This window comes from Homo sapiens, chromosome 10 (assembly GCF_000001405.40).
Source record: "Homo sapiens chromosome 10, GRCh38.p14 Primary Assembly".
Lineage (NCBI taxonomy): Eukaryota > Metazoa > Chordata > Mammalia > Primates > Hominidae > Homo > Homo sapiens.
This window is the reverse complement of record NC_000010.11, coordinates 3,303,066-3,329,658: the sequence shown is the minus strand read 5'-3', so window position 1 is coordinate 3,329,658 and position 26,593 is coordinate 3,303,066. Positions and strand designations below refer to the sequence as shown.

The window sequence follows — 26,593 nt, the reverse complement described above, 5'->3', positions numbered from 1 at the left end:
TTTACTAGAAACTGATTTGTCTTTTTTCAAATTGTAATCGTTGTTTTATTTTTTCTTTTTTAACAAATTGCCACTTGCAATGCAAATATAAGGCAAATACAAGAAATCCCAACTTAATACTGGCTAAATGCTAGGCAGACTATTTGATTTAAATTAATCCATCATGTGAATCTCACATGATTTTCCACCAAAGGGATATGCCTAAATTCAGTCTCTTACACATTCCTTGTTTTTTGTTTGGTTGGTTGGTTTGGAACTTTTATTTTATTTTTCCCTCTTTTGCACTCCAAGCCACATTTTTATTCTGACAAATGGGTAGATCCATCGTTCAGTGCTAGATAAGAAAGCAAATGTGATGACCAGGAAGACGGGTGTTGACAGCGGGAACACCAGCTCCAGAAACAACCAGGGCATAGACACAAGGGATTGTTCTTATTTATTGTTTGCTAATTGTTTATATTGATACATAAGAGATGCACATATTTTCAGGGCACATACATTCATATCACATGGAAAGATCAAATCAGTGTAATTAATATCCAGCAGCCTAAATGTTTGTCTTTTATTTATGTTAGAAGCATTTAAATGATTACCTTCTAACAATTTTGAAATGTACAATAGATGATTGTAAACTATAGTCACCCTACTGATCTAGGGAGCACTAGGTGTTAGCCCTTCCTTAGCTGCATATATTTATGCCCATGAATCAACCTCTCTTCATGCTGCCCCTCACCATGGGCTCACTCTTCTTCATAGTAGAGCCATGAATTAGATATAGTCAGGGGTATGCAGGTGGGTGTTTAACAACCCCCTTCAAAGAAAGAGAGGGGAAGGGAGACAGAAGGGTGAGAGACGGATGGAAGGAAGGAAAGCAGGAAGGAAGGAAGGAAGGAAGGGAGGGAGGGAGGGAGGGAGGGAGGGGAGGGGAAGGGAGGGGAGGGGAAGGGGAAGGGCAAGAAGGAAGGAAGACAGCCTGCTTCATGGAATTTGTCCACTTGTATGGTGGGCTTTGGCATTTGTCCACCATTTGTCCACTATTGCCAGTTCCCCCTACCAAGGTGCCATCACTGAACTCAAGGCGGGGAGGAGATACACATAGTTGGCCCTCGTGAGTGTGTATGAGCTGCCATCAACACATCACTGACACAATTTCATTTTTTTTTTGTCTCTTGCTGAGGATTTCCTGAATTTCAGCCTATCTTTACAAAAACAAACAGACAAAAAGCTGTGTATAATCTTAGAAAGCGCATTATTATAAGTCAAAGAATATCTAAATGAATTAAAAAACCCATGCTGTGTTCAAGGATTGGAAGGTTTAATGTGGGAAAGATGCCATTTCTCCCCAGATTGATCCCCTCAATTCTTATAAAAATCCCAGCACAAGGCTTGGTAGACAATGACGAGTTTATAGCAAAGTTTACATGGAAAGATGAAAAAACTGGAACAATTCAAATAATTTTGGGGAAAAAAAATGGAAGGACGCATTTTGCTTGACCTCAAGACTTATTCTGCAGTGGCCACAATCAAGACTATGATATGGGTGGAGGGACAGACACATGGCCCAAGGGAACAGAGCAGAAACCCCAGAAATAGAACAACACAAATATACCAAATGGATTTTTGTCAAAAGAGCAAAAGCAATTTAGTGGAGGGAGAATAGTTTTTCCAAAAATAAAAAGTGATAGCAGACATTGGGATGGCTTTCACCTCTTGGCTACTGTGAATGACACTGCCATGAACATGGGTATGCAAACACCTCTTCAAGGTCCTGCTTTCAGTTTTTTTTTGGCATAAACAAAATGTGGTCTACATGTACAAGGAAATACTATTCAGCCTTAAAAATGAAATAAATTCTGACACATTATACAACATGGGTGAATCTTGAGGACATTACGCTAAATGAAATAAACCAGTCACAAAAGGAACAATATGACACGATTCTATTCCTATGAGGCATCTAGATTTGTTAAATTCATAGCAACAGAAAGTAGAAATGTGGTTACCAAAGAATGGGGGGATGGGAAATTGGGAATTATTGTTTAATGGGTACCAAGCTTCAGTTTGGAAAGATGAAAAAGTTCTGGAGGTGGATGGTGGTGCTGGTTGCACAACAGTGTGAATGTAATTAATGCCCCTGAACTGCACAGTTAAAAAATGCTTGACATGGTAAATTTTATAGTATGTGTCTTTTAACACAAATGTTTTAAATGGTGCTGGAGCTATTACATATATAAGATAAAAGCAAAAAACAACAACAACAACAAAAAACAAAACTTGGACTGAAAGTTATACTGTAAAAACATTATTTAAAAATAGATTACAAATATAAATATAAAATAAAAACTGCAAAACTTTTAGAAGAAAAAATAGAAGGCAATCTTCAGGAACTAAGTCCAGGCAAAGAGTTCAGAGACATGACGCCAAACACATGAACCAAAAGAAAAAAGAAGATAGTAGGCTTCATCAAAATGTAAAATTCTGTGCTCTAAAATTCCCTGTTAACAGGATGAAAAGACAAGCTACAGATTGGAAGATATCATTTGCAGACCTCATATCTGACAAAGACGTTGTATCTAGAATCTAAAAAGAACTCACAAATCTCAACATTAAAAAAACAAGCAACCCACTTAGGGAACATTTCACTGAAAGGGAGACACAGATGGTGAATAGCCCCATGGAAAGATGTCCAACAGCATCAGCCACTGCGGTGTGTGACTAAAAAGCACAATGCAGTAGCATGACACTCCTATCAGGACATGTAAAATAAACGATGGTCATAACACCCAGTGCTTGTGAGGATGTGGAGAAATGAAATCACTCATGCATGGCTGCTGGGAATGAAAATGGCGCAGCTATTCTGGAAAACAGGTTGGCAGTTGCTTGCAACTCCAGGCATGTGCCTGCCATGTAACCCAGCAAGGGTATTCCAGGGCATTGATGCCAGAAAATTAAAACTAACCCACACAGAAAAGCTGTGCATGAATACTTAAGGCAGCTTTCTTTGTAACAGCAAAAAAAAACTGGAACAACATGAATTTCCTGCAGTGAGTGAAAGGTTCTACAAACCATGGTTCATCCACAGAGCAAACTGCTATTTTAGCAATAAAGAGGAACAGACTCGTGACCCACGCTGCAACCCAGATGGATCTCCAGGGCATCAGGCCTGGTGAAAAATGTCAACCTCAGAAGGTTCCATATTGTGTGATTCCATTTATAAACATTCTCAAAATGACAGTAGAGATGGAGAACAGATTTGTAGTTGCCCAGGGACAGGGACTGGGGCTTGGAAGGCAGATATGAAAGGACAGCTCAAGGGGTTTCTAGTAGGGCTGGAACAGGTGTGCATTTTGGTTGTGATGGTGGTTATGGGAATCCAGCATGGGATAAGACTGCCAGACATTACACACACACACACACACACACACACGCGGTCGAATGCATGTAAAAACTGGTAAGCGCTGAATTAGGTCTGTGTGATCCAGCTAACATTTATGTACCAATATCCACATCCTGGCTTTGAGCTTGTACTTTGACCTTGAACTTTGACCTTGTGACAGAAGATGACATCATGGGGGAGGTGGGTGAAGGGGCTCTATGAATTATTTTTACAACTTCCTGTTACTCTGTAATTATTCCAAAATACAAAGTATTTTTTCTTTTTAGTTTTAGTTGACATATATAAGGATGCGTATTAATGGGTTACAGAGCAACATACAATGCATAACGATCAAACCAGGGTAATTAGCATATTTATCACCTAAAACATTTACCATTTCTTTGTGATAACATTCAAAATCTTCTTTTCTAGTTTCTCAGAAATATACATTATTGTTGACCATGTTCACCCTACAGTGTTATAGAACACTAGAACTTATTCCTCCCATGTAGCTACAGTTTCAAAATACAAAGTACATTTTTTAATCACATTAAAAAGCAGTAGATGCAAACAGCCAAATGAATGATAGTGACAGCATCTATCAAAGTTAATTGGACCGAAGATAATTATTCCTCTTCTTCCCCAACCCCTCTCATTTTGCAATCTTAAAGTTTTTTAATGATTAAAAATGTTAAGAAACAAATACGTTTATTTAAAACACATATATCAGGTCCAGGCAAGGTGGCTCATGCCTATAATGCCAGCACTTTGGGAGGTTGAGGCAGGAGTGTCTCTTGAGCCCAGGAGTTGAAGACCAACCTGGGTAACATAGGGAGACTCCATTTCTTAAAAAAAAAATTAAAAAATAAAAATAAATTAGGCGGGCGTGATGGCACATGCTCATAGTCCCAGTTACTCTGGAGGCTGAGGTGGCAGGATCCCTTGAGTCTGGGAGGTTGAAGCTGCAGTGAGCTGTGATTGCACCCTGCACTTCAGCCTGGGTGACAGAGTGAGAACCTGTCTCAGAAAAATTAAAATAAAAATTGATAAATAAATAAATGTGTGCGTGTGTGTAAATGTAGGGTTTGTAGAGCATGTGCAGGGGCCCCAAAGCCCACCTGCAGATTTAGCTGGATCCCAGGAGCAGGAGATGAGATGAGATTCTCCAGAGAGCAGCTGCTGAGGCACACACACACCTCCTTTCTATTTCCAGTTAGTTGTTCTTTCCAGCCCCTTCTTTGGCTCTTCTTGGAGGCGGTCTCAGGCTTACACCCTGGGGCCTGGCGCTGCCTTCTCAGCTGTAGGGCTGTCACAGCATCTCCCACCCTCCTTCCCTAGCCATATGACGACCCCTGGCAGCACGGTCCCATCCTGCTGGCAGCCCCGAGCTACAAAATCGAATGAATAATAACCTTCTGATTCAGAGCTGTGACTCTCTTGCAAGAAGCAAGTGGCACATTCTTCACTAAGTGTTAAAATATGGTCAGCACTACAGATATTTTTTGAGTGGAGACAGGTTGCAGAAAAGGCATTCAAATGACACCAAGAAACCCTCTTATGAAATGTATTCTGCAAGCCAACCCTCTCTTCCTGTTATGTTTGCATGTGGCTTTTAGGTGAATAGTATTGTCATGATTGCCATCGCTACTCAAGTCACCTGCCGATAGCCAGGATGTCCCACCTCAGTTAAGCTGCCCGGAGAGGCCAAGGGAATGGAAGCTCCTACTCCTATGGAGACACTCTAATTGTGGAAGCAAAAGGGGATATAAAGGCAATGTCTTAGGTCTCAATGTTTATCTTCCAAGCCGTGGCTTTCAGAAGCTATGCATGTAAAATCTTTCAATGGATAATGGAACAGATTTCCTCTGACCTACCGGGAAGATCCACCATGAGCAGCTCACACAGATTCTCCACCAAGCGCTTCCCTGCACAACGTGCAATGATATAATTACCTTCTGTGCCAGTCAGTCCTCAGAGATGCAGTTGGCACCAAGCACAGAGCGCCACTAGACAGCCACATGGCCCTCCCTCTCCCACTGGGATATTTTTATTCAGAAATTTCAGTGCCGGCTTCAGTTTTTGGCTGCTGGATTCCTGAATCTGTCTTGCGGGGCCTCCTGCCCGCGGTAAATCTTCGGAGCTGCCTTTGGATAAGGGAAAATGATTCATAATGGAACCAAAGAGATTCTTTTAATGAACTTGCCCCAGGGGGATACCAAGCTCTTTTTATGATCAAATTTAATGAATCATAATGAATTTCATCACATGAAAATGATGTGTCTACACCATAAAGGAGACGCAAAGCTCACTGGCCCAGACTCAAGTGGGAAGAACAACAGGGAAACTATTTGTAAGGAATGTAGAGGGGCACAAAGTAAAAGAGTTTGAGTAGATTTTAAATATTACTAATGAGGTGTATAAATATAGCACACATGATCTCCAAAGTAATTTTCCACAAAGATGCTAATAATATGTACAAGTTACAGTAGCCTTCTATAAGGGCTCTTAAAGCCTTTTTTCTCAACTTTGTTTTTTAGAGTAGAGAATTTGTTCCCTTTAAGATGTGACATTCTCACAAGGATACCCAGCATTGGATTAAGAGCCACCCTAATCCAGTGTGACCTCATCTTAATTTAACTAATGGGATCGACAAAGACCCTGTTTCCAAACAAGGTCACACTCCGAGGTCCCAGGTGGGCATGGATTTGGGAAGGACAGTGTAAAAAAATTATGAGTCTTTCAGATATTTGCCTGGATTCTCCTTTCTTCATTTTCCTCTTTTTTTTTTTTTTTTTTGAGACAGTCTTGCTCTGTCACCCAGGCTGGAGTGCAGTGGCGCGATCTTGGCTCACTACAAGCTCCGCCTCCTGGGTTCAAGCCATTCTCCTGCCTCAGCCTCAGGAGTAGCTGGAATTACAGGCGCGCGCCACCACGCCTGGCTAATTTTTTGTGTTTTTAGTAGAGATGGGGTTTCACCCTGTTGGCCAGGCTGGTCTACGAATTCCTGACGTCAGGTGATCCGCCCGCCTCGGCCTCCCAAAGTGCTGGGATTACAGGCGTGAGCCACCGCACCTGGCCTCCTTTTTTTTATTCACAGGCAGCTCGCTCCTGCTCTTGCTCCCCTAGTTCCTGCGAAGAAATCATGCCCCGGCAGTGCCCGGCAGCACCTCGAGGAGAGCCCCGAGACACTCAAAGGGCGCAGAATCCCAACAAACACATCCGGGCACTGGTAGAAGCGGCTCACAGGGGCTCCCGGGAGGTCAGCGTGGCACCCCCTCCCAGCACCACTCTCTGCCGTCGCGCTGGCAGCCTGAGTTAGCGATGGTGGGCACGTTTACACCATGGAGACTGGCAAATGCTGCCACTCAGAACTTTCAAAAATGCTTCTGAGCCAGTGTATCAACTCAGCTCTGGACACATCCTATGTCTCAGTTTGGTTATCTGTTGCATATAACAAAATACCTGAAACTGGGTAATTTTTTTTTTAAATGAATTTATTTCTCCCAATCCCGAAGGCCGTGAAGTTCAGGGTCAAGTGGCCGCATCTGGCAAAGGCCCTCTTACTGGTGGGGGCTCTCCACAGAGTCCTGAGGGGTCATCTCATGGTGAGGTGCTGAGCATGCTGGCCCAGCTCTCTCCTCTTCCTGTAGAGACACAGCCCCTCTCCTGTGATTACCCACTAATCCATGAGAGGATTAATCCATTAACCCTTGAAGGCATTAATCCATTCTTCAAGACAGACACCTCATAATCCAATCACCTCTTAAAGGCCCACCTCTCAATACTGCCGTGTTGGGAATTTTGCGTGAATTTGGGAGGGGTGAATATCCAAACCTCAGCTCCCTAACACAGTGCATGGCTTCATCTCCTGACATGAGAAAGCTTGGCTCCTCCCAGCTCTGGTGGTCATTACAGACAAATTCTGGTGGTTGCCTATTCTTCATTCAACCTACGGGTGCCTGAGTTCTAATGATGCCAGCACTAGGCCACAGGCAGGCACTAGAGGCCTGCAGAGCCATGGAACACAGCCCCAAGCTCCTGCCCACAGCTGTCCCCAGTGCTGCTCCTGCCTCTGCCCACCTCAGCACCTTGAGAGCTATGGGGTTGCCCACATCACTGGATGATTCCACCCAGAGACAGTGTATTAGTACTCTCTAGAGGGACAGGACTCATAGGATAGATGTATATATGAAGGGAGTTTATTAAGGAGTATTGACTCACATGATCACAAGGTGAAGTCCCACAATAGGCCGTCTGCAAGCTGAGGAGTAAGGAAGCCAGTTTGAGTCCCAAGACCTCTAAAGTAGGGAAGCCGATAGTGCAGCCTTCAGTCTGTTGCTGAAGGCCCAACAGCCCCTGGCAAACCACTGGTGTAAGTTCAAGAGCCCAAAGCTGAAGAACTTGGAGTCCAGTGTTCAAGGGGAGGAAGCATCCAGCACGGAAGAAAGATGGAGGCCGGAAGACTCAGCCTGTCCAGTCCTTCCACATTCCTCTGCCTGCTTTTATCCTAGCCATGCTGGCAGCTGATTAGATGGTGCCCACCCAGACTGAGGGTGGGTCTGCCTTTCCCAGCCCACTGACTTAAATGTTAATCTCTTTTGGCAACACCCCCACAGACACACCCAGAATCAATACTTTGCATCCTTCAATCCAATCAACTTGACGCTGAATATTCACCATCACAGACAGCAAAGCAGTGGCACAGGAACCAGGTCTGGCTGGCCGTTGTGTTTTCTTTGGCCCATGCAGTATTTTAATTGAAATATATGCCATTTTTTTTAATTGGGGGAATTTCCACTTTTAAAAACCCGAACTCCTGAGGTCTTGATAATCTGTAGGTGTGGCCCCGCCCTGCCATGTCAGCGCTCATCTTTAGAGCAGAGAGACAGCTTTCTACTGCAGCGGACCGTGTGGTCCTCAGCCAGCTAGTGCTCCGGACGTTGAGAGTCTGCTATGCACAGCACTCACCCCTCCCGTGTCCACACCCGTGTCCACACCCATCAGCCCTGAGGGATTGAATTTCACATCAACAGGCAAACTCTCTTCCCTGCATCAGTCCCCATCTCCATACCACCACCACCTTCTCCAGAAAGGAAGTTCTTCTCTATCTCACCCAATACAGCCTCCTGAGTTCCAATTAGAGAAAATTAAAGTCTTAGTTCAGTAGGACACTGGTGATGTCTCCCCACACCCAGATGCAAACGGCATCACCTCACTCTCAAACTCGTGACTGATGGAGCTTCCATCTTGTCCAACAAGTAACATGACCGGTCTACCTACGTCACCACCGAAAGTTGGTCAACATCCGTTCACTGCATTCTTCCACCCAGAACATGACATTTGTCAGCAACCAACATTTCTGTCCCCAAAGGTCATGTGCATCACCAAGCGCCACTTCCACTGCAGAAGTCGGGGGTACCTGGGGAATCGCAGCCTGCCCAAGAGATTCATCAGAACATCCTTCCCTGAGAAATGACAGTGCCCTTCATGTACAGCCCACCGCCAGACACGGGAAAAGTCATCTCTGACCAGGCAGCCCGCCAGCTGTGTGTTGAGTTTAGTACATATTAAATGACCGCGTTGTAATGTAGAAGATTGCTCCTTGGAACCACACAAGGTCGAGGGCACTATTGACCCCACAGATCTTTGACTCCCGTGACTCCACCTTGGGCACCCGATCCTCTTTGCGCAGCTTCCTGAAGCCTCCTGAGCCCACCCTAATTCCACAGACAGCTCCTTGGACCCCACAGTCTGGAAAGAGAAGCCTGACCACGTTGCTGCAGGACTCTCTCGCTTAACCACCTCCCGCTCCACTCCGGGTGCTTTGTGCCCTGGAAAGGACAGAGCCTGAGAGAACGTGCATAGAAGTTTCCCTCCCGCCTCAGCAACTGCCTGGTGTTGAGAGGTGACAGCATGCTGGCAGCCCTCGCTCGCTCTCGGTGCCTCTTCGGTGTTGGCACCCATTCTGGCCGCGCTTGAGGAGCCCTTCAGCCCGCCGCCGCACCGTGGGAGCCCTTCTCTGGGCTGGCCGAGGCCGGAGCCGGCTCCCTCGGCTTGCCGGGAGGTGTGGAGGGAGAGGCATGGGCAGTAACCAGGGCTGCATGTGGCGCTTGCGGGCCAGCTCGAGTTCTGGGTGGGCGTGGGCTTGGCGGGCCCACACTCTGAGCGGCTGGCCGGCCGGCCGGCCCTGCCTGCCCAGGGCAGTGAGGGGCTTAGCACCCAGGCCAGCAGGTGCAGAGGGTGCGCCGGGTCCCCCAGCAGTGCTAGCCCACTGGCGCTGGGCTCCATTTCTCTCCAGGCCTTGACTGCCTCCCCGTGGGGCAGGGCTGGGGACCTGCAGCCTGCCATGCCTGAGTCTCCCCCCAACTCCCCTGCCGTGCACTCCTGCGCGGCCCCAGCCTCCCCGACGAGCGCTGCCCACTGCTCCACGGCGCCCGGTCCCATCAACCGCCCAAGGGCTAAGGAGTGCGGGCGCACGGCCTGGGACTGGCAGGCAGCTCCACCTGCAGCCCAGGTGTGGGATCCACTGGGTGAAGCCAGCTGGGCTCCTGAGTCTAATGGGGACTTGGAGAACCTTTATGTCTAGCTAAGGGATTATGAATGCACCAATCGGCACTCTGTATCTAGCTCAAGGTTTGTAAATGCACCAATCAGCACTCTGTGTCTAGCTCAGGGTTTGTAAATACACCAACAGACACTCTGTATCTAGCTAATCTAGTGGGGACCTGGAGAACTTTTGTGTCTAACTCAGGGATTGTAAACGCACCAATCAGCACCCTGTCAAAACAGACCAATCAGCTCTCTGTAAAATGGACCAATCAGCAGGATGTGGGTGGGGCCAGGTAAGAGAATAAAAGCAGGCTGCCCGAACCAGCCATGGCAACCAGCTCAGGTCCCCTTCCACACTGTGGAAGCTTTGTTCTTTCACTCTTTGCAATAAATCTTGCTGCTGCTCACTCTTCGGGTCTACACTGCCTTTATGAGCTGTAACACCACGAAGGTCTGCAGCTTCACTCCTGAAGCCAGAGAGACCACGAACCCACCGGGAGGAACAAACAACTCCAGACGCGCCGCCTTAAGAGCTGTAACACTCACCCCGAAGGTCTGCAGCTTCACTCCTGAAGTCAGCAAGACCACGAACCCACCAGGAAGAACGAGCAACTCCAGACATGCCACTTTAAGAGCTGTAACACCATGAAGGTCTGCAGCTTCACTCCTGAGCCAGCAAGACCACGAACCCACCGGGAGGAACGAACAGCTCCAGACGCGCCGCCTTAAGAACTGTAACACTCGCTGCGAGGGCCCGCAGCTTCACTCCTCATCCAGTGAGACCACAAACCCACCAGAAGGAAGCAACTCCGAATACATCCGAACATCAGAAGGAACAAACTCTGGACGCGCCACCTTTAAGAACTGTAACACTCACCGTGAGGGTCCGCGGCTTCATTCTTGAAGTCAGTGAGACCAAGAACCCACCAATTCCAGACACAGTGTGGCAGGGATTCTCCTCACCCTGGGCCTGGGGACGCTGGGCCCTCGCTATTCCAGAGCGTGGCTGTGACAGGTGCGATCCAATCTGTCCCGTCCGGGGCCTGGGAAACTCGGCCGCCTATCCCGCTGCTGCCCACTGCAGAGGCTGCCGGGAAATACAGGTCCGTGGCCCGGGAGACTCGGCCGCCTATCCCGCTGCTGCCCACACAGAGGCTGCAGGGAAATACAGGTCCGTGGCCCGGGAGACTGGGCCGCCTATCCCGCTGCTGCCCACACAGAGGCTGCCGGGAAATACAGGTCCGTGGCCCGGGAGACTCGGCCGCCTATCCCGCTGCTGCCCACACAGAGGCTGCCGGGAAATACAGGTCCGTGGCCCGGGAGACTCGGCCACCTACCCCGCTGCTGCCCACTGCAGAGGCTGCCTGGAAATACAGGTCCGTGGCCCGGGAGACTCGGCCGCCTATCCCGCTGCTGCCCACACAGAGGCTGCAGGGAAATACAGGTCCGTGGCCCGGGAGACTCGGCCACCTACCCCGCTGCTGCCCACTGCAGAGGCTGCCTGGAAATACAGGTCCGTGGCCCGGGAGACTCGGCCGCCTATGCCGCTGCTGCCCACACAGAGGCTGCCGGGAAATACAGGTCCGTGGCCCGGGAGACTCGGCCGCCTATCCCGCTGCTGCCCACGCAGAGGTTGCCGGGAAATACAGGTCCGTGGCCCGGGAGACTCGGCCGCCTACCCCGCTGCTGCCCACGCAGAGGTTGCCGGGAAATACAGGTCCCTGGCCCGGGAGACTCGGCCGCCTACCCCGCTGCTGCCCACGCAGAGGCTGCCGGGAAATACAGGTCCGTGGCCTGGGAGACTCGGCCGCCTACCCCGCTGCTGCCCACGCAGAGGCTGCCGGGAAATACAGGTCCGTGGCCTGGGAGACTCGGCCGCCTACCCCGCTGCTGCCCACGCAGAGGCTGCCGGGAAATACAGCAGTCCTCCTGAGCAGCTTCTGACTCTCACCACTTCATATCAACTCTCTCGTTCTTGCTTTCCAGGCTCCTGGCTTCATATTCTGAATTTTGCATCTGCTTCTAATACTTTTTTTTGAGACCAAGTTTCACTCTGTCACCCAGGCTGGAGTGCAATGGCACAATCCCGGCTCACTGCAACCTCCACCGCTTGGGCTCAAGCGATTCTCATGCCTCAGCCTCTGAGTAGCTGGAATTACAGATGCGCGCCACCACACCCAGTTTATTTTATTTTATTTGTTTTATTAGTAGACATGGGGTTTCTCCGTGTTGGCCAGGCTGTCCTCGAACTCCTGACCTCAGGTAATCCACCCGCCTTGGCCTCCCAAAGTGCTGGGATTACAGGGTGAGCCACCGTGTCTAGCCTGCTTCTAATACTTTTAAACTCGTTTGTGGGATCCAAGCACGTCAATCCCCCACTTGCTTCTTGTTTCTACCTTCTCTTACTGAAGTGTCTTCTGTGGTTTAAAACAAAAAGGATTCTCTCCCTGGGGCTCACTCCTGTCACTGACACCACTCTGTCCCTACTCCATGTCCAGTTATTCCTGGGGCATGTGAGAGCTCCTTCCAAAGGCCATATCCAACTCTCACGTGAATTTACCACGTATCATCCTTCAATCCTTGACCTTGGAAATAAACTTGGAATTAACTTGGATCTCATTTCCACTTAAAATAGCCCTGGTGCAGTAGCTCGTGCCTGTGATTCCAGCACTTTGGGAGACCGAGGCAGGGGATTATTTGATCCCAGGAGTTTGAACCAGGCTGGGCAACATGGTGAAACCCTGTCTCTACGAAAAAATAACAATTAAAAAAATTAGCCAGGCAAGGTGGCACGCACCTCTAGTCCCAGCTACTTGAGAGGCTGAGGTGAGAGGATCACCTGAGTCCAGAAAGTCAAAGCTACAGCCTGCTCTGTTCACACCACTGCACTCCAGGCAGGGCAACAGTGAGACCCTGTCTCAAAAACAAACAAACAAAAAAAAGATCAAAATATGCTAAGCCTTTTGCCATGAAATCCCAGCCGTAAACTTATTCAAAAAAAATTAGAAAAAATTAATTAAATGCAAATGAGATTATTATTATATTTTAAAATATAAGACATATAAAGGGAAGATATTGAAGACCAGGTCAAGCCACCATAAAATAATCAAAAATAAAATAATCAAAAGTCAACTATGTTTCCTATGTCATAGAAAAACCTCTCTCAAAAGTTAGTAACTGAAAATTGAAGACATGCAGGATTCTGTCAGTGTGGAAAGAAGTAAATGATTTCAAGAATTGGCCCTAATAATAAACACAGAAAAAGAGATCTTAGAAAGCCATTAGGAACAACTGTAAATACAATATAGTCATAAGTAAGCCACGTTAAGTCTGTATTTGCATAAGTCAAACTGATAAGAAAATCAAATTATTTGGAAAATTTTATGTATGAAAAAGGAGCCAATGAGAAAAAACCAGATTGTCGTTTGGATCATCTGGCTGGTCACCTGTATTCACTGTACTAATTGAATATTTTATTTTACTTCACTCGAGTAGATAAACCCTAGATGAACTTAATAAACCAAGTGAAAGAAAAAGGAATGATGTATTTGATATAGATCTTTATCAGAAATTATAGCTTTAAAATTATTTAAATGTCCCTTTCTTCTACCTAGGTTTTCGTATCTCTTTTGGCTAATATACCCATATAATTAACTGCATATTTTGGTTTTCATTTAGACACAAATAAGGAGATAGAAGAAACTATTCTTTTTATGTACTTAATGCTTTATATATTTTTCTCATTTAATCTTTACAGTAATCTTTAATAAAATTACTTTACATATGAGGTATTTTAGTTTAGAAGTCAAATAACTTGCCCAAATTTCCATTACAAAGAATGATTTTAATAAGAATTCAAATCCAACTCTCTCTGACACCTGGCTAGGGTCTTTCAGGTACCCCAGCAAATCATAAACTAGACTTTATTAAATACAGATGTTCTGTGAGGACGCAGCAGCAGTTCTACTACTGTTTGCTTCTACATCATTTCTAAATCTTTTCATTTTGAAATAATTTTAGGTATAGGGAAGAGTTAAAAATAATAGGACAGAGCAGCCGGGTGCGGTGGCAGGCACCTGTAGTCCCAGCTACTCGGGAGGCTGAGGTAGGAGAATGGCGTGAACTCGGGAGGCGGAGCTTGCAGTGAGCCGAGATTGTGACACTGCACTCCAGCCTGGGCAACAGAGCAAGACTCCTTCTGAAAAAATAATAATAATAAAAATCATAGGACAGAGCTGGTTATGCTGATACCCCAGGATTCCCTGATATTAACACTGACGTAACCAGGGTCCCTTTATCAAACCTGAGAAACTGACATTTCCACATGCCCCAAACTGCAGACTTGAGGATTTTATCTGTTTTTTCACTAACGTCCTTCTTATGTCTCAGAGACCAATCAAGGATCCCACATCTAAATCCATCACCCCGGCTCTTCTGTCCTGTTCAGTCTTCCCTCACTCTGTGAAGTCATGCTACCCTTCCCTCACTCTGTGAAGTCACCGTCCCTTCCCTCACTCTGTGAAGTCACCGTCCCCTTCCCTCACTCTGTGAAGTCACCGTCCCTTCCCTCACTCTGTGAAGTCACCGTCCCCTTCCCTCACTCTGTGAAGTCACCGTCCCCTTCCCTCACTCTGTGAAGTCACCGTCCCCTTCCCTCACTCTGTGAAGTCACCGTCCCCTTCCCTCACTCTGTGAAGTCACCGTCCCCTTCCCTCACTCTGTGAAGTCACCGTCCCTTCCCTCACTCTGTGAAGTCACCGTCCCTTCCCTCACTCTGTGAAGTCACCGTCCTCTTCCCTCACTCTGTGAAGTCACTGTCCCTTCCCTCACTCTGTGAAGTCACTGTCCCTTCCCTCTCTCTGTGAGTCACCCTCCCCTTCCCTCACTCTGAAGTCACTGTCCCTTCCCTCACTCTGTGAAGTCACCCTCCCCTTCCCTCACTCTTTGAAGTCACCCTCCTCTTCCCTCACTCTGTGAAGTCACTGCCCCCTTCCCTCACTCTGTGAAGTCACCCTCCTCTTCCCTCACTCTTTGAAGTCACTGTCCCCTTCCCTCACTCTGTGAAGTCACTGCCCCCTTCCCTCACTCTGTGAAGTCACCCTCCTCTTCCCTCTGTGAAGTCACTGTCCCCTTCCCTCACTCTGTGAAGTCACCCTCCTCTTCCCTCACTCTGTGAAGTCACTGCCCCCTTCCCTCACTCTGTGAAGTCACTGCCCCCTTCCCTCACTCTGTGAAGTCACTGTCCCCTTCCCTCACTCTGTGAAGTCACTGTCCCTTTCCTCACTCTGTGAAGTCACTGTCCCCTTCCCTCACTCTGTGAGTCACCATCCCTTCCCTCACTCTTTGAAGTCACCCTCCTCTTCCCTCACTCTGTGAAGTCACCCTCCTCTTCCCTCACTCTTTGAAGTCACTGTCCCCTTCCCTCACTCTGTGAAGTCACCCTCCTCTTCCCTCACTCTGTGAAGTCACTGCCCCCTTCCCTCACTCTGTGAAGTCACTGCCCCCTTCCCTCACTCTGTGAAGTCACTGTCCCTTTCCTCACTCTGTGAAGTCACTGTCCCCTTCCCTCACTCTGTGAAGTCACTGCCCCCTTCCCTCACTCTGTGAAGTCACCCTCCTCTTCCCTCTGTGAAGTCACTGCCCCCTTCCCTCACTCTGTGAAGTCACTGTCCCCTTCCCTCACTCTGTGAAGTCACTGCCCCCTTTCCTCACTCTGCTGAGTCACCCTCCCCTTCCCTAACTCTGCTGAGTCACCATTCTCCTTTCTTCATTCTGGGAAGTCGCTGTCCACAGAGTCACCCAGTTCAGCTCACACTCAGGTCTCAGTATGGGGAGACTGAGCTCCACTCTCTGATGGAAGGCGTACCAGGAGTGTGGGGCCCTGTGGAAACCATCCCAGTACTGTTTAAGTATTTGGAGGAGTTGCTTGGGGCTATGTAAGTACCCAGCTCCTCCTTAAAGCTTTGCCATGAATTTATTATTCTTCAGGGTTTCTGGCCCATGACATCATTACTATGCAGGTCTGAAGGTGATTTTCCCATTTCCTTCATTCCTTCCACATTTGTTATTTGGAATTCTTATTTGGAAGAAATTGGAATTGTTATTTGGAAGGAAGGCTTGTCTACTCTCCTCATTTATTTATTTCTTCAATCACTTATTTGTATATTTACAAGATATTTTAACTTCTTAATGGTAAACTAACACACAGCCACACTTGAGTGGCAAGCTGGGGTGTATTATGTCCTGTGCTCACACATTGGGGAATGCCAAGTGCATTTCTGCTCTCATATCACCATATTAATTTATTTTTGTTTGAACTACAGGTGTTTTCTTTCTACCTCTATCTCCACTCTGAACTCTTGAGACAGAACATTGATTTGGGATGTTTGCAGCTCTTCTTGGGGGGTACATGGATGTGTGTGATGTGTGCTGACTTAAGCTGAGGGGACCCACCATATGATTGCGTATGTAAGTAACTACTTACCTATGTGAAGCAGAACTTTCTTGATATAGTGCAAACAGAATACACTGCAGGCAGAATCTGGAGGCTGATATAACCCTATGTTCATCTTCCATAAGCCCTGTTATCAGTGGATGGCGAATAACAAGGTAATTTTTGAAGCCTGAGTATATAAAATACCTTATTCTAGAAGGAAAAAAGGGGAAGGAAAGAAAAAGCAAAGACAGACAAAACAAAGAAAAAATGCAAAGAAGAAAGGAAGGGAAGGAGAGGGAGATGAAGCCAGGGAGAGAGGAAGGGAGGGAAGGAGAAATGAAACAATTCTTCACCGTGTCTCTGCTTCACATGTTGGAATACCAAATCAGAGCTTGCAGAAGGAAGGGGCTCCATGACAAACACATAGCTAAGTGCCATGGAACCACACCTTCCCATCTCCCCAGCAGGACATTTGTTCACTTATTTTTGCATCTCCTTGTTGAGACGCCAACATTTCGTTCTACTTTAATTGCTTCTCAGTATGTTATGCTTCAGAACCGCCCTTCTCAGAGTTTTCTGAATCTCTATTGTTATGCTTGGACCAACCAATTCCCAAGCTTTGCAGCCCTCTTTAGTTTGCCGACCTGAGCAATTCGGAGGAAGATAATTGAGACTCGCCTTCAGCGAAGCGCGCTGGCTTTAAGTGAGCAGACTTTGGGTTTGCACCTGGTGCTGTCCCTCCGTGCTGCTGAAAAGGTCATCCGTGTTTTCAAGAGTATTTTCCAGAGGCTCTAGGCCATTGTAAAACAAACAACCTAGGCGATTTTTAACAATTTACAAGAGTTAAGCTTAGGTGTAAATTGTTTCTTTGAAAAATACAAAATGTAGATATTGTCCAAACAAACTTTACTTTTAGGTAATTTAGTAGAAAATGCGTTTGGTAGGAGCCTTTCAGAAGATGCAGCAATTAGTAAAAATGAATCTACCGTAAACTATGCAAAGATCTATTTGACATTTGGTAATTACTTAATTTCCATAAAGGCAGAATTATTTTAAAAAAGACTAAAACTAGTGAATTATTTATGGATTCCCTAAATACAGTGTGAATATTTCTTTTGGCTTAATTTTTGAAAATGGGCCTTCATATTTCTTTTGTTTGTTGGAGAGAACAGATAATATTCTGAAGAGCAGGTTGACTTCACCAAGTGAGGGAGGGAGCCTCTGGTCTAGAAAATATATAAAAATGCTTTGAATCTGAAATGGAAGCATCAGAATTCTAGCAGCAATAGAATTAAAAACTCACTGTAGGCCATGGATTTTTATTAGCTACCAAAACTTGCTTCTTTTTTTCATATTTAAACTCAATAAATTAGACACATTCAAAAAACGAAAATGTCCTAATAACCTGGTTTCAAACTCACTTTTTGAAAATACAAAGATAAAAGTTTAACTCTAAGCCCTACCGTTTATATCAGCTTGTTTGGGGGCAAGCACTGACCTCAGACTCTGTTTCCTGATCTGAAAAACCGAGCTCATAGAAACCATCCCGCAGAGTTGCTGTGAAAATTAAAATCTGTTAAAATAGTTTCCTTATCAGTATAGATATAGACGCATTCATTTGCTCATCCATGTACTCGACAGATGTTTATTGGGGCCTGCATTGTGCTGGGCACTGTTCTAGATGGGTGAGATACACCAATAAACAGAAGAGGGAAAGTCTCCTGTCTTATGGAGCTTGCATTCTGATGGGGCAGATAGTCAATAAATGATAGATATAAAAAGTAAATTATGTCGTATGGTCTAAAGTGCTAAGTAACACGGAAATGAGATGGGAGGGATGAAGCTGGTGCTGGAGCACAAGTTGTAACTTTAAACGTTAGACAAGGTGACCTTTAAACAAAAGCCTGAAGGAGCAGAGAGAGTGAATCCTAAAGCATCTGGGGAAAGGACGTTTCCAGCGGAAGAATCCGCTCCAGCACAGCTCTAAGGCTGGAGTGAAACAGTGGAAGATAAGATAGAAGGTGTTGGGGACCGAATAACCAAGAGCGTTGCAGGACATGCTCCCTGCCAGGCCAAGCTGCGGGCTCTGCAGGGTCCCAGAGTTTTATGACATGGTCCTTGACCTAAAGACAATCAAAATATAAATGAGGGGTACTTGCAATCATGTGTACGTGATTTCCTCAGATATACTGCACACTCCTTGAAGGCAAAAACTCAGTGTTCTCTATGGAATGGAGTTCCTTCCTAAAGCTCCTCAGGGACAATGGAGCGAGAGAAATTCAGAAAGACTCGTAAGCCAAACTGCTGTCTTCTCAGGTAAAGATGAGCAATTTACCAGCCACCTGCTGGAGGGAAGTTCTCATTCAAAGCATCCCCAGATCATGGCAGATGGAAAGGGATATTTTTGCAGAAGGCCTTCTTCAGATCCCGACTGCTAATGATGGTTGGCTTCATGTCTGCCTAGGGCTTTACCTGAGCAGCTGCGGGACATGCCAGTTAAGCTGCTTTAAGTTTTCCCCAAAAATCAGCACAAGTGGTGTTCCAGGGGAAAAGCCCTAGGGAAAGGAGAGAGCAGTCATTTTGAAAGGCTTGGTGCTTTTTCTCTGCCCCGTCTTCAGACAGTGAGAAGAGAGCCTTCAAATGAGTGTCTCACAGGCAGCCCCACAGAGCTCCAGCTATCTGTGCATCTTGCAAAAATAGAACAGCATCTTGTGGCTCAGGGATTTATTTCCAGAGTCTGCCTATTCCATTCTGGAGGTATAAATTGGGTTCTTTTCAGTCATGTTAAGAGGAACTTAATTGCATAATTTATTCCACACAGACTTTTCTACCTTTAACAATTCTGGCCTTGTCGAAAGCAAAAACCAATTTTACCATGATTAAGCTAATATCGTTTTTGTGCAAACACAACCCCTTTATCAGAGAAGAGCAAAGTCATTATTTCTAATACACTTTCACAACGACCTGCAATGTAGGTGGGTGGTGAGTATTATTTTTCATAACAGCTGGGAAGGGTGCATCACAGTGCACCTGAGACTGGAGCTAGTTATTCTGACTCCGCGATAATTATTTTTTCCCTTTCCTCTCCTAATTGCTCTTCTTCCCTCCCTCTTTCTGCCTTGCTATTTATAGAACAGAGTTAGTGCAACCAGTGAGTATGTAACTTGACAGGTAACTGGTGGGCACGGCGCACTCAACATGAACATAACCTAAGAATCCAGGGTTCCCTACTCCTTCTCAGAGGCCCTGTAGCATTATGAAACAACTGAGCTATCAATTAAGATTCCACAAATAATTGTCTTGGAGATGCTGCAATACAAAGCTCATGCATTGTATCAGCCAGATCGAACCATCATAGAAAATAGCCTGAGTGGCTAAGCAACAGGCATAAACTGAGTGACTTCAAAAACGGATACTTATTTTCTCAAAGCCATGGAGGCTGGAAGTCCAACATCAATCAAGGTTCCCACCCGTTTGGTTAAAGTTCTCTGGTGTCTCTTTTTTTTTTTTTTTTTTAAGACAGAGTCTTGCTCTGTCACCAGGCTGGAGTGCAGTGGCGTGATCTCGGCTCACTGCAACCTCCACCTCCTGGGTTCAAGTGATTCTTTTGCTGCAGCCTCCCAAGTAGCTGGGACTACAGGCGCACACCACCACACCCAGCTGATTTTTTGTATTTTTAGTAGAGGCAGGGTTTCACCATGTTGGCCAGGATGGTCTCGAACTCCTGACCTCAGGTGATTCACCCCCCTCCCCCCAGCCTCCCAAAGTGCTGGGATTACAGGCGTGAGCCACCACACCCAGCTCTGGTGTCTCTTCTTTTAAGGGCACTAATTCCATCATGGAAGCCCAGCCTCATGGCCTCACGTAAACCTAGCTATCTCCCAAAGGATCCTGGAAGCAGAAATACACTATGCACTGGTATCAAGTCCTAGGAGGGACTCACTGTCCACCAGGTATAAATCCCAGGGGAGGACTCAAAACACCTTTCTAGTTTCTGCTAAGGCTTCTAGATCTAGCAGGTCTCTAAACACCTTTTCAGATGATGTTTACAGTCAGAGCCTCAGTTCTGGCAAGACTCTAAATGCCTCACCAGATCTGGGAGACGGCTGTACATAAACCCATTGCCCAGAGTATGAGTCGGGTAGGACAGAATATTCATGCAGCTCATCAGGCAAAGCACATTTATCACTCACACACAGGCAGCAAGAATAATAGCAGCCTACAATCCATGGCTAGCTGTGCCCCCAAGCCTCAGGGGAGCCCCCCAGGGTGGATGCAGTAACACTTGCATGTGCCCCACTTGGACGGCAGCTGGGGGACCTGGCAGCAGATATCCATCTTCTTGTCCTGGGTTTTATACCCTGGGGAATTGGGCTCACTGAGCCAAAGCAACGCAGGACACCCTGTTCTAGGAGAAAGAAAAGAGCCCAGGCTGTTTCAGACAGTTCCTTCTCATCTCAGATGCTCATTCCACAGTTATCCTGAGAACTACAAGCAGGGTGGGGGAGAGCTGGATTAGCAAAGGCCAACCAGGAGCCCATCCTCCTGCAGACCCATCTCCAAATACCATCCCATTGGGGGTTAAGTTTTCAGTGTATGAATTAGGGAGACACAGTTCAGTCTACTGCACCCACCTACCTACTTTAGGAAGAAAACATGGAGTTGTCAACTTTATTCGGTAGTGTCACATTTAGACGTGGCTTCTCTGCCCTCCTGGGAACACTCTGCTCCTCTGGCAACATGGTGTATGGCTCAATCCACCTTCTCGCCACTGCATCCCTACTGCTCAGTCCCTCCTTTTCACGAGTGGTTGGCTGGACTTCTCTTTCATAGACACATTCGCTACTACAAGTCCAGTCACAAGGTTGAATGAGCTCAGTTTCCATGCTGATAACTCCTCCAACAGCTTGACCTCAGTTCCTTGTTCTCTTCACTCCATTTACATTTACTTGCTCTTGAACATGACTTCATCCACTGATTCTCATAGTCAAACACCAGATCAAAATTCACCTTTGCTGAAATGCCATGCTCTGGTCACACTTACCTGTCCTTCCAGCTTTGTGATGACCACACAGCTATTCATTTTTCCCAGAGGTGCCAGTCCATTTTCCACCCCATCCCTTTCTTTTAGTCCCCTTTATCTGAGCTCACTTTCCCAATCTAAGCAGGATTATGTGGCTTTTCAATTAAGACACTCTTGCTAATATTTTAAATTCCCTTGGCCTATTGTCTTTTCAGTGTATTTGTTGGTCTTTTCAATGTATTTATTCAGTGGTCTCCAGCTTCAGCTCTCTTCACTCCTATTCTTATCGGAGGTTCTACTTCCCTGAGGAAAAAGTCAGTCATTGTATGGACAGTCTTTGACCTTCTGTCCTGCCCTCTGTCAGCCAGACTTTGTACTCATAATCATTCTAGTCTGTTATCCTGTTTATCACAGAAATAATTTTAAGACATTGATATTGGGCCCGTTGCAGTGGCTCATGCCTGTAATCCCAGCACTTTGGGAGACCAAGGTGAGTGTATTGCATGAGTCCAGGAGTTCAGGACCAGCCCAGGCAACATGGCAAAACCCCATCTCTACAAAAAAATACAAAAAAAAAAAAAAATAGTTGGATGTGGTGGGTGTATCTGTGGTCCCAACTACTCAGGAGGCTGAGTGGAAGGATCACCTGAACCCAAGAGGCAGAGTTTGCAGTGAGCTATGATTGTTCCACTGCACTCCAGCCTGGGCAACAGAGTGAGATCCTGTCTCAGAAAAAAAAAAGAAAGATCAACATTACCCACACATCTTTAAATCCATGCCTCACTCTACCCTAAATCTCTGCATTTTATCAAGTTTCCTGTTGATAGGAAACATAGAAATAGTATGTGCACTGTTTCCTCATTTCCAACACAGTTTAAATAAGTTCTAATTTCTCCCACTTCACAATAAATAAAAACCCCTTCTGACTTCATGCTTTCTATAGCCACTACCCAAGCTCCCTTCTTCTGCTCTTATCTAAATGCGTTCCGAGCATCTTGCAAACTCACTGTCTCCATTTACTCACCGTGTGCTCACATGTCCATGCAGACAATTTGTGTGTCGTGGCTATTGTCTTGACCACAAGATGCAAACTGCTCTTGCCAGAGTCAGCACCAAAGACCTCTCCATCACCTTGGTGCCAGCTTCTAGCATTTTGTCTGGTGCTTAGTAAGTGTTTGATAAACATTTGCTGAAGGAATGCACATACATTGTGGAAGAGGTCCAAGTATTAAGAACAGGATATCTTTTGTGAGTAAATTCAAATATTTTTCCTTAGAAAAAGATAGATTCATATACTTGTTCAGCAGGCATTTTTTGAATCACATATTCAACACAGACTGACTGCATGCTACGTGTCAATCTCTGGTTAGATACTAGAATCATAAAATTAATAAAAACAGCCCCTGCTCACAAAGACAATGTGCTGGGAGACAGAAGCATGACAGTGGATAATATAGCAACAGTGTACTTAATGCAGTAATGGATAGACACAGAAAGTGTCATGTGTAACAGACACACACACGAAGATGCTGGGGGATAGATAAAGAGAATGTAAGTGATGAGAAGGGCTTCTAAAACGGGGAACTTCTAAAGAACCAAGTTTCTTGAGATAGTTATTCTACCTCCCCCACAAAATATAGAAGATTTGGAGGTCCCTGGTCATATCCCAAATCGCTTGAGGGATTAGAGAAAGAGCCCTCACAGACATCAAACTCTATCACGCCTTGTGTGTTCTGAACTAGTCAAATCAAATCTAATTTTTTTTTATTTATTCTTCAGGTAAAATGTGATAAAGGGGCCATTAACATTGACCATTGAAAATCAAACCTATCCTCAAAGCACAGGTGCAGAGCGGTGTAGACCCCAAAGTCTCCACATAGCCTTTTAGTTCCTTCCAATCAGCCATAATGTAACTGTGCTATATTCTGCAGTGATTTTCTTTTCCTTAAATTAAAAAAAAAAAAATGCTGTGAAAAGAAAAATTCACCAAGGATGCCAACATTCATCATGATAGGGTTTGGCAACCAGTGTAAAGCTTGAAATATATTGGTTTAGCAATTTAATTACATCTAAATAAGCCATAAGGATTATTTTTGACATCTCAAATTTTCTTTTTTGTCATTCACACTTTGAATCAGATCTTAATCTCCTGAGTTTTGCAATGGATCATAGTATCTGAAATCTCGCAGGGGACACAAAAGTTACAGCAATCTTGACACAAATCATTTTAATTTTAATTTTAAAAATAGACAAAACTCTCAGGAAAAAAGAAAAGAGGTGCCATGGAATCAAATAGCACCAGGGCATCCCCACTGTTCCTGGATGGGCATCTCTGACTTAGGAACGCTGTTCAGCACTCATGTGAGCAACCCTGGGGCACCTTTTGTGTCTATAACAGAGAACCTCCCATCCTTGAGCGTTCTGTGTTCCAAAGTGAAGGGTTTAATATGAAGTGAGCTGTTAGCTTTTCTTCAGTCTCACAGCTTTCACTGGAGTGGGCATCAGAGCTTCAGTTGAAGCTGTGACCCTAGCTGGGAAATGCACTAGCACGTTGGTGGGCAGGTGCCCAGAAGCCCAGATGCAAGAAGGATTGCAGTCTTCAGGGGCACTTGTCTCCAGAGAAGCAGCTGTGCCAGGAACCAAGCATTCAGTTGTCAGTGAGGAGGGGCCCAGTGGATGTCAACTGGTTTTTCAAATGAGCATTAAATGTGACAATATGTATAAAATAGGCATATGTTAAACCCAATAAATGTTAGCTATCTTGCTGCTTTGATACTTACTAACCATGTATAACTTACAAACACAGGGAAGTTGGAGCCCCCTCTTCATCATGGAATTTGGGGCATCCCTGGTCTCCTGGTGGCTGTGGACTTGCAAATACCCAGTTGTCCACAGACCTGTTGGCAAATGGATGTCCCAAGCGAGGGAGATATGCCTGGTGGGAAGGAGGAGTCCTGTGAAGAATAGAGCCAGCTAAACACAGCAGAGAAGCAACAGATGACAAAAAGCAACTGTCCAGAAGGCTGGCAGAACTGGGTTTGGGCCCATGCTACGCAATCCAGACATGCCTGTAGCATCCTTTGAAGGGACTCAAGTCTGTAGGCGAAAGTGTGAGTCTAGGAGCCGGTGAATTTGCATCCAGAGAGGGGGGGATCTTGGGAAACATGGAGATACCCCCATTTCTACACATTTCAGTGTAGCTAATTCAAGATTGAAAAAGTAAGAATGAAGTATATCTGATTTTTCCAGTAAAAAAAAAAAAACCATCATAGCATGTCATCTGAAACTGCTGCTACTACAGAGAGATTAGCAGGATCTCAAAGTTAGTTAAGATTGGTGGAGGGTCTCTTTACTTACGACCACAAAGCTATTTAAATGCATATGTTCATGACATACAGAAAGGTTATTTGGAACTGGTTTCAGTTGAAGGACGGCTTTTTACCTAACAGTTTAGACTCAATATTGTCACCTCACTCCCTTTTCTCTCTCTTCCCCAGTCTTCCTCCATCTCTTTTCTCATTTTCTCTGTATTTTTCTTTCTTTCTCAGTACTCTGTCTCATAAAATTGTTCAATACTTTTCCTGGATTATTTAAGAAGTTAATAAAAACTCTCTGTCTTCCCTTTAGTTATTCAAAGGCTTCTATTAAATCGTTGAAGGAAATAAAAAGAAAACTGACAATAATAAAAATTGAACATGGTAAAGTTTGCTGTTGGCTAAAAACAAGCAGAAGAATCAAATTTCAAAACAATTTTAAAGCTTCCCAGGTTACCTGAAGGAAAATAGGGCTGCCTCTTCAAAAATTATGGTTGCACAGAGCATCCATGATGCAGAAGCTCTAATCAGTAAAACTCGATATGGGCAAAAAGTGAATCAATGAATTCAACTTTTGACAAATATTTAAATGGAAAAAATCAAATAGAATAATTTCATAAAAACATGTTTTCTAAAATGGTACACAAAGTTTAGAAATGAATTAAATTGCCTTGATGGAATTCATTTTCTCTATGCAAATTTGTCAATCTTGCCAAAAATTTGACTAAAATGTGCTTACATAGAAGGAATGTTTATGAGTACAGAAACCCTGAGAAGTTATAGTCACAGGAATTGCAATACTTTTCTCTTCTTGCACTATACACACACACACAAACACACACACAGAAGTCGTTTTGTGAAAATGGAATTAAATCAATGAGGGTGACACAATACCTCCTTTGCATTTCAAGTAAGGGACTTCTCCCCATTAATGGTAGGCTAGTATTGTAGGCTAAATTGTGTCTTCTCAACATTTATATGTTGAAGATGTAACCCCCACTATCTCCAAATGTGAGTGTATTTAGAGATAGGGTCTTTAAAGAGGTAATTAAGTTAAAATAAGGCTGATGGTGTGGGCCCTAATCCAGTTTGACTAGTGTCAAATGTGGACATTCAGAGACACCAGAGCACATGCAAAAAGATGGTGCTGTGAGAACAGTGAGAAGGTGACCTGTACAGGCCACGGAGAGGGGCCTCAGAAGAAGTCAAAACTGTCAACACCTTCATCTTGGACTTCCAGCCTCCAGAGCTGTGATCAAATAAATGTCTGTTGTTTAAGCTGCCTAACTGATGGGTTTTTGTTATGGCAGCCTTAGCAAACTCATACAATTAGGTGATGTTTGCCAAGTCTCTCACCCAGACAACTGAATACAGAGAATAAAATATATTTAATGTGTTTGAAATCACTGGAGAATAACAAGGCAATGAAGATACAATCCAGAAGAATGTAAAATCCATACTTATAAACCTGACATTTGAGTACATTTTCCTCCAAGGAGTTCCTCTGATTCTCAAAAGGGGGACTGAGAAGCTTACAAGCTGAGTGAAGCTTTTGGCAACCTTATTAGGGAAGGAGAGCAAATATCAGAGTCTAGGTCTGCCAACAGGAAGAACCCTAAAAGACTAAACCCTGGAAATAAAGATAAGCCAGAAAGACGTCAGCATTCACAGGAGCCCAAGTTCAGTTTAAAATCCTATGAGTTCCATAAATGGACTACGTTGTTGCAGGAATTCTACTGCTCCTGGCCACTGCCGAAAGCAATGTGCATTCTCTTTGAAGAAAGGTAATAACATCTTATGCATTTAATTAGACGTAAAGTTTTTTCATATACAATGTCTAGCACTCAATCAAAAACAATAGAGCACATAGAAGAAAAAAATGTAAAACAATGGAC

The 26,593-nt window shown here is 45.3% G+C and overlaps 1 protein-coding gene and 2 long non-coding RNA genes across 3 annotated transcripts in view, besides 1 other annotated feature; 2 read left to right on the top strand and 1 right to left on the bottom strand.

Annotated features, from left to right (window-relative positions):
• LOC105376360 (uncharacterized) overlaps positions 1 to 10,964 on the bottom strand; it is a 432,070-nt gene extending 421,106 nt beyond the window's left edge. Inside the window, exon 1 of the long non-coding RNA NR_131187.1 lies at positions 10,803 to 10,964. This is a non-coding gene — a long non-coding RNA (uncharacterized LOC105376360). The remainder of the gene's footprint in view (positions 1 to 10,802) is intronic.
• On the top strand, positions 8,849 to 12,544 carry LOC124902565 (uncharacterized). The gene is made up of 3 exons (XM_047426137.1): positions 8,849 to 8,936; positions 10,925 to 11,028; positions 11,165 to 12,544. The coding sequence occupies exons 1-3, from the start codon at positions 8,849 to 8,851 to the stop codon at positions 11,867 to 11,869; spliced, it is 897 nt and encodes a 298-aa protein (XP_047282093.1). The 3' UTR covers positions 11,870 to 12,544.
• Positions 14,930 to 16,129: an enhancer, noted in NCBI's record as "P300/CBP strongly-dependent group 1 enhancer chr10:3355722-3356921 (GRCh37/hg19 assembly coordinates)". NCBI's record gives its function as "activates an origin of replication core promoter dependent on BRD2, BRD4, P300/CBP, MED14 and CDK7 cofactors, with strong dependence on P300/CBP, by STARR-seq in HCT116 cells {active_cell/tissue: HCT116}" and the evidence as "EXISTENCE:reporter gene assay evidence [ECO:0000049][PMID:35650434]".
• Positions 15,657 to 24,536, top strand: LOC105376356 (uncharacterized). The gene is made up of 3 exons (XR_930566.3): positions 15,657 to 15,861; positions 16,249 to 16,393; positions 24,191 to 24,536. It is a non-coding gene; the product is annotated as an uncharacterized LOC105376356 (long non-coding RNA).
• Positions 24,537 to 26,593: the final 2,057 nt, after the last annotated feature.

Excerpts from the sequence above, each read along its gene's own strand:
- LOC124902565 (XM_047426137.1), top strand. The coding sequence starts at position 8,849 with ATGACAGTGCCCTTCATGTACAGCCCACCGCCAGACACGGGAAAAGTC. Across the intron at positions 8,937-10,924 it reads CCAGCTGTGTGTTGAGTTTA|AGCGTGGCTGTGACAGGTGC; the intron begins GTACATATTAAA and ends TCGCTATTCCAG. Across the intron at positions 11,029-11,164 it reads GAGGCTGCCGGGAAATACAG|GTCCGTGGCCCGGGAGACTC; the intron begins GTCCGTGGCCCG and ends CGGGAAATACAG.